The sequence below is a fragment of the Homo sapiens genome, chromosome 10, assembly GCF_000001405.40.
Source record: "Homo sapiens chromosome 10, GRCh38.p14 Primary Assembly".
Taxonomy (NCBI): Eukaryota; Metazoa; Chordata; class Mammalia; order Primates; family Hominidae; genus Homo; species Homo sapiens.
Genome location: NC_000010.11, coordinates 46,091,225 through 46,098,540, shown reverse-complemented (window position 1 = coordinate 46,098,540; position 7,316 = coordinate 46,091,225). Strand labels below are relative to the sequence as shown.

Below are 7,316 nucleotides of genomic sequence, written 5' to 3'. Positions count from 1 at the left end.
CTCACCCTGGCTTCTGAGCTGGTGCCTCCGGCTTTTCACCAGTACTTGATTCTGTCTCAGCCCAAATAAGCGGATGTCCTTCGTCACCTACTCCACGGACAGCAACACCGTCTTGCCGGCTCACCTCAGACAAGTGAGTGCTGCTTTGAGCCCTAAAGGGAGGCCTGATGAACTGAGCCAGAGGGACCTCCAGGGAGCTGAGGGGCTCCCAGAGACCTTGGCTGGGAGCCTGACAGCACACAGGGCAGGCCGGTCAGGGCAACTCACAGTACCCACCCTGACCTTAGCCCCGGCTCCCCTGCATCCTCCTACCCATGGCTGCAAGGTTACCTGCAGGCCCCTGTGCTCCAGAAGTTCTCAGCCTCCCTACTTCACACTCCCCTGCCCTCTCTCTGCCCTGCCTCCTTCCCTGGGAGGTGGCTGTGAGGATTCCCGGGGTGCAGGGGCTGGCAGGGCGGGGGTGTGTGTCCTTTGAACACACACCTTTGCTGGCTGCTGCTCTGTGCCTGTTCCCCCTGCCCTGACCAGTGCAGGAGGGAGACAGTGTCAGAGCCGGTGGTGAGAGTCGTGCGACTTTAGCGCAGGGATGCTGGCAGGCCCAGACGGGAGTCCCTGGATGGGGTTCTGAGCTCCAGGCCAGGCTGGGAAACTGGAGGGAGGTAGGAGGAGCAAGCTCAGGTGGCTTGAGGTGGCCTAGAGAGGTGCCCAGGCCCAGCAGGGTACATTGCAGAGTTCCTGTTTGGCGGGAGGTGAGAGCGCTTCCAATGCACATGCCCAGAACTGGGCCCACAGAAGTTGAAGCGCAGGAGAGAGGTGAGGACACTGAGTACTGGATGGGGGCCTGGACCCCACTTGCAGCTTCAAGGGGATACAGGGTGGGCTGCCGCATCTTGAGCTAGGGGGAGGCTTGGATCTGTGTGTCCTGCGCTGTGGGTTTGGCAGAGAGACTGGAGTGGGTGTGAGGTGGTAAAAAGCAAGTCTATGGGGGAGGACTGTGGCGGGTGACCCAGACGGGGAGCCGGGTTTGGGCATGGCCTCTTCTGGGTATGGATGGACCTGGCCTCCTCCCCTCCTGAGCTGGGCAGGCAGGGCTCTCAGAGCTCCGGCCATGGCAGGGACTCTCTGCCCGCAGTGGGAAGCCAGCCTTCAGGGTCCATGCTCTGCCCAGCCTTGCTGTGCAGGCTCAGCCTGTCACATTGGATTAGCCTGACCCTAAGTCCCCAGCCTGTCCCAGTCCTGCCACCAGAGCCAGTTCTGGCTGCCCCAGCCCATTTTGTCTGTTTTAACAGCAGCTGACAGGCTATATCCCCCAGCCAGTCTGCAGATCAGTGTTCAGACCGTGCATGCACAGCCATCAGGGCTGCCTCTCCAGCCTTTGGTCTTTTTGTTTCAAGGGCACAGGAAGTCAAAGAGGCCAGGCAGTCTAATTAAGCAGATTTGGTATTTCCTGTAGCAGGGTAAAGAGAGAGGAGGAAACTGAATCAGGTTCAGGAGTCTAGGGCCATGGGGGCTGGGTGTAGGGTTGGGGGCTTAGCAGGATGACTTTTCCCAAATGCAGCCCTACCTGTTAAAGGATCGAGTGTCCAACACAAGAGAACCCTTGTTAGGGTTACGGTTTGGGTTAGAGTTAGAGTTAGAGTTAGAGTTAGGAATGTCAACCCCATTGTCAGTGGCAGACTCTCAGTTGCCCATCCCCGGTTCAGGGTTAGGGTTAGCATGAAGATTAGAGTTAGAGTTAGAGTTAGGAATGTCAACCCCATTGTCAGTCGCTGACTCTCAGTTGCCCATTCCTGGTTCTGGCTTAGGGTTAGGGTTAGGAATGTCGGCCCCATTGCAGTTGCTGACTCACAGTTGCTCATCCATCGGAAGCTCCCACTGTCACCAGAGATGGTCTAAGTGGGGCCCTGGTGAGATTCCCCAGGCCTGCATTCCCTGGAACTGGGATGAGATCACAAGGCCTGAAGTCTATGGTCAATGTCACAGTGAGGAATGAGCAGGGCAGAGCCCTTGCTTGGCCTCCTCCTCCATCCAGGAGGCCTTGCACAGTTAACAGTGGCACCCAGAGAGCTTGGGAGCTAATTTTTAACAGTCCATGTCTTTCCACGTCAACCACCTTTTTGGAGTTTTTTAAGGAAGAAAATAAAAGAGGGTCTCGACAAGCTTCAGAAAATGGTGCCTGAAGGACACACGTCCATGCAGGCAGGATTTAGAAATGTATACCACCCTTGAGCTCCAAGAATCGATTCTAGTTGACAAGGTCTTAGAGCATCAGTGGGAACATTTCACTGTCCAGGCTAGATATTTCTTCATTTTCTTGCAGGCAATTCGGCAGTTAGAAAATTTCAACTCCAGGTTTAAGCACCTGCTGTCCCCATGGTGGTCCTGTAGGGGGAACAGAGCTGGGCGTGAGCCTCAGAGAGCTCTGTGTGCAGACTCTGCAAGGCCACACCTGCCCTGCCTCTTGGAGCAAGTTGCTCACCTGCTCTGAGCTCCAGGTCCCTCCCTGGTGCAATGAGCATAGTAAGCCCTCGCCCCATGGAGTTCTGAGAACTGTGTGGGATCCTGCGTGTGCAGTTCTGGTGCTCATAACCCTGAGGTGCTTGCCCTCCAGCTGGGCTGTGTGAAAAGGACAAGAGAAGAGCCAAGGAGTTTGCCCCCTTGCACACACCTTAGTCTTCCTCCTCCCTTCCTCGTTTCCCCTCTGAGTGACTTGCATCCCTTGAGTGTGTCTCAGATGATGCAGAAGGCTGTCCACAGCCGCTGACTCCCCTCCCCACTGTGTGCCTGCAGCTCTTGTCAGGAAAAGGCAGGGTTGGTGGGGAAAGGCGTTGAGGTGGCCGTGGGGTCTCCCGCCCCGGTGCCACTGACCCGGAGTCCTGTATTCCTGGTCCCAGAGATGCCGGTAGGGCTGCCCACAGGCTCTGCCCACAGGAGAGCCCAGTTGCTCCTCCCCCTGCCTGTGCGACAGGCCTGTGCTTGTGGAGTCCTGGCTGGAGCTGCCCTCAGGCAGAGGTAGTGCAGGCTGCTAGCGGGTGAGGGTTCAGACAGCCTGATGAGAAGGGGCCTCCCCCTCTCAGCTCCTCCTTTGTAAAATGGGTGCTGGGCTGAGACCTCCCTCACTCTAGGGGTCTCTGGGTAGCAGGTGCTTGGCTCTTGGCAGCCTCTCCCCTGGAGGATGAGGTGGAGGCACCTGGACATGCCCTGGAGTGATCAGTGCTACAGGCCCAGCATCCCACAGGGGTCCCGGAGTGTTGGGGTGATCAGACCCAACACCAGATCGTGGGAGCGACAAAGTCTGGCGGAGTCAAAGGAATGAGAAAAAGACAGTTTGAGAGAGACAGTGGGACCAGGGGGCCACCGCAAGTGTGGAGGCTGCAAAGGCCCTGAGCTTTGCGAGCCCATGCTGTTTATTGGTGCTCAAACAAAGAACCCGTGAGGATGTGGGGGTTGAAAGGAAACAGTGTATCAAGTGAATGAGAAACATACAGCTGCTTGAGATAATGGGAGTGCTAAAAGCAAGGAGCCAGCAAGTCTAGCAAACATGCAAGCCCTGCCCCAGCTTTTCTCCCAACACTCAGCTCTTCTCCCAACACAAGAGCTTTTGGAGGTCACTTCTGGGGCCTTTGCTAAGCAGGCCACTCCTTGCTTCTCCTGCAGACAACAAGGTTTCCAGCATGATTATTGCAATGACCAATGGAACAATGATGAAACATCCATTTTTGGACACTCTCAAAGAAGTGAGTTCAGTTCATATTTATCAGCATTTTGCTTCATGTATTTTGGTAATTAATACTCAATGCCTTCTTTCCCTTATGCTGAAAGGGCTTAGAGCCTGGGGGCCACCATTTACACCCTGGGTGTGGCTGATTATAGGAAAGACCCAGTAATTCCAAACAGGTTAACCAGGCACCAATATGGAGCCTTGTGATCAGGTTAGGGTTAGAGTAGGGAAAGGCATCCCAGGTGGCTTTTCCAGGGCCACCCTGGGAAGGGTCATCTAATCTGCCCCAAGTGAGTTGGGCCACCCCATGACTATTGCAGAAATGACACGTGTCGTATAAATCCCACCACACCAGAGGGGAGGGCGGAAGACACTCCCTGAGAGTGGGCTGCTGGCTGGAGAAAGCTGTGGCCCTCAGAGCCTGGCATTCTGCTGCCCCCAAAGCATGGGAGCAGGACGCTGTCCTCTGGGCTGGGGGTCTGCTGCATCCTCACCCCTGGGCTGGGGGTCCAAGCTAGCTCTGCTCTCTGTAGATAACAGCAATGGCAGGCATTCCGGACCATGTGTTTGCAGTGGAGAATGGCTTCAAGGCCCTGAGAAGCACCATTGATGCCGTGAGTGGGTGGAGATGAGGGGCTGGGGGCCTGGCTCACTCTCCCTGCCCCGCCCCACCCCTCCTGTGTTCCAGCTCACGTCAAAGACCTGTCTTGATGTGACATCGGTGGAGCCTTCCTCTGCGTGTGTAGGAGGTGAGAGCTGCGGAGGCCCTGGGGTAGCCAAAGGGTGGTGTGCACTAGTGCATGTGTGTATGGAGTGTGTGCATTTGTTTGGTATGTGTGGGGGAGGATGTGTGTGGGGAGTGTGTGAGTGTGGTGTGTGTATGTGGTGTGTATGTGTTTGGTGTGTGTGGTATGTGTGTATGTAGTTTGTGTGGGTGCAGTATGTGTAGTATGTGTGGGAAGTTGTGCTGTGGGAAGCTTGATGTGTGTGAAGTCTGTGGGGGAGGGTAATATGTGGTCTGTGTGTTGTGTAAATGTGTATGTGATCTGTGTGTGGGGTGTGTATATGTGCTGTGAGTGTGGTGTGTGTGGGGTGTGCATGAGTGATGCATCTGTGTGTGTTGTATTGTGGGTGTATGTGGTGTGGGAGCCGAGGAGGTATGTGCTGTATATGTGTGGGGGTGTGAGTGTGTGTAGGGGGCATATATGCATGCGTGTGTGGGTTATGTGCAGAGTATGTGGCATAAGCTGGGGTGCTGTGGAAGTGTGTGGGAAGGGTACCTGGTGTGTGGTGTCTAGTGTGTGTTTGTTGTGTGGAGGAGTCGGGAGTGGACTGCTTGTGTGTGGTGTGTGTGTATGGGATGTGTGGTGTGTGTTTGCTGTTTGTGGTGTATATGTGTTTACTATTTATGTGTGTCTGTGGTGTGTGTGTGTACAGTGGGACTAGAGTGTTTGGGCGTGTTGTGTGTGTCATTTGTGGGTGTCTACATGGGGATATCTTGTGCGTGTGGCATGTAGGGAAGGAAATGGTGTAATGGCATGTATGTATAGTTTGTGTGTGCATTCAGTGGGAGGTGGGTGTGTGTGCCATGGCTGTGTGTGTATGGTGTCTGTATATGTGTTTGCTGTTTATGTTGTGTGTGTGGGGTGTGCTGGGTGTGTGTTGGGGGAGTGGGGAGTGTGTGGTGCATGTGTGATGTGTGTGGTGTGTGTATGGGATGTTTGGTGTGTCTTTGGTATTTTTGGTGTATGTGTGTTTGCTATTTATGTATGTGTGTGGTGTGTGGGTGTGTGTGCTTCGGGTGTGTGGTGTGTGGTGTGATGTGTGTGGTATAGGGTGGGTTGAGTGTGTTTGTGGTCCAGTGTGCATGGGTGGGTGGGTGTGGATGTGTGGCCCACATGAGTGTGAATGTGAGTGTCTATTGGTGTGGGGGGAGTATGCAGAGGTGGCAGTGTGAGTACTTGTGTACAATTAGTGTGTTGTTACCTCACAACAATAAGTTTAACCCTAAAGCAAGAAAAGACATGTGTGAGAAGCTCACAGGAAAACACTAGCAAATGGCATGGAGCAGCAGCTAACCCAGACCACAGGGCAGGAGCAGCCAGGGCTCCTCCCAGGAAGGCCAGGCAGGTGCAGAAGGTGAAATAGCTGTGAAATTTACCACATCAACAAAACGGGAAACAGGAACCAAGCGGTTATCTCAGAGGATGAAGAACAAGAAGTGGGGGCGTCAACATGCCACAGCACCCTGGGAGCAGAAGGAAACCTCCATAGCCCGACAAAGGTGTCCACACAAACACCCTCGGCTCACCTCAGTCCCACAAGATCAATCCCAGCATCTGTCCCTACTGTCTGGAATTAAGGGTGACCTCATGCCATCTGGGTACCCAGCATGGGTGGTGACAGCCTTGTGTGGTCCTCTGTGATGACCCCTGTCTGTCCTGATCTCCACCTGTGCGCACTGGGACTCCGCATGGCCGGCATTTATGCAAATGCGGCTGCTGGAGAGGAAGAGAGCCCTGGGTGTCCTCCCTCCATGGGGACAGCACGAGACTGGGTGCTGCTGGCCCAGAGCAGCAGCTGGGTTCTGGCCTCCCAGTTCCTCACTGCAGGGTGCCCTGGCAGTAGGCTGTGAGGACAGACACACCGTCCATGTCAGCTCTGCTCTCCATGGGCACACGACCAGGAGCAAATTGTCCAATGTCAGCGAGCTCCAGAGGTGCCTCCCATGAACAGAAAGGATGCTGTCAGGCCTGTCGTGAGTCCCAGGGCACTGAGCTGTGCAGGGACTGGCACAGGGCTGGGAGCTGGTAGGTCCCAGAAACAGGAGCTGTGCTGACACTTCCATGATTGGTCCTGGGCTCTGACCCCACTCACCTCTCCCCGATGCAGAGCTGAGGATGGGGGTGGAGTAGAGAGAGCTCCCCTCCCACTTGGGGTCTCTTTCTGCTGCTCCTGGTTTAAAGCTGCTCAGTCGTGCAGCCAGTGTGCTAGCTGTGCTCCTCTGACGATGTCCCCTGGACATGCACAGGCTGTGGCGTCTGAGCAGTCCTGTCAACCCCAGGTGAGGATGTGAGTCGTCACTCTTCCCTGGTGGCAGCTGAGTTGAGGTGACAGGTGCCCTCTGCCCACCAGCTCAGCCCTCTGCCTCTGCTCACGTGGCCCGGCAGTCACAGCCCTGACCTGTCAGCTGTTGGCTGACTTGGGCAAAGCTGCCCCACATGGAGGGTGACAGTCACAGCAGGGAAAGGCCAAGGCAGGAACCTGGAACCTAAATGCAACAGAATAAGCCCTCTCAGCAGGCTGCCACCAAGAAACCAGGAGGGCTCCAGGGAGCCCAGGAAGGAGGCCAGGGAGGGAGGCACGCAGCCCAGACTCCCCCATTCAGTCCTAGGCCTCATATGCAGCCTGGCAGAGGCCTCTGCTGGGCTCACTGCTCCAGGCCAGTCCTGAGCCCATCCCCCACACATGGCTGGAGGGTTTTGGCAGGAGCCTCCCTTCTAAGCCTGGCAGGTGTCTGAGGCTCTTAGCAGAACCCCCAGGCCCTCCAGGAGCCACTTCCTGTTCTGGGCGCCCTGTGCAGAGGTGGGACCAG

The 7,316-nt window shown here is 55.7% G+C and overlaps 4 annotated features.

Moving 5' to 3' along the window:
• Positions 1,168-1,462: an enhancer, noted in NCBI's record as "tiled region #7132; HepG2 Activating DNase unmatched - State 5:Enh". NCBI's record gives its function as "activates a minimal TATA promoter and a strong SV40 promoter by Sharpr-MPRA in HepG2 cells {active_cell/tissue: HepG2}" and the evidence as "EXISTENCE:reporter gene assay evidence [ECO:0000049][PMID:27701403]".
• Positions 1,168-1,482: a biological region, named in NCBI's record as "Sharpr-MPRA regulatory regions 2667 and 7132".
• Positions 1,188-1,482: an enhancer, noted in NCBI's record as "tiled region #2667; HepG2 Activating DNase matched - State 5:Enh". NCBI's record gives its function as "activates a minimal TATA promoter and a strong SV40 promoter by Sharpr-MPRA in HepG2 cells {active_cell/tissue: HepG2}" and the evidence as "EXISTENCE:reporter gene assay evidence [ECO:0000049][PMID:27701403]".
• Positions 6,708-7,002: a silencer, noted in NCBI's record as "tiled region #10026; K562 Repressive non-DNase unmatched - State 7:EnhWF". NCBI's record gives its function as "represses a minimal TATA promoter and a strong SV40 promoter by Sharpr-MPRA in K562 cells {active_cell/tissue: K562}" and the evidence as "EXISTENCE:reporter gene assay evidence [ECO:0000049][PMID:27701403]".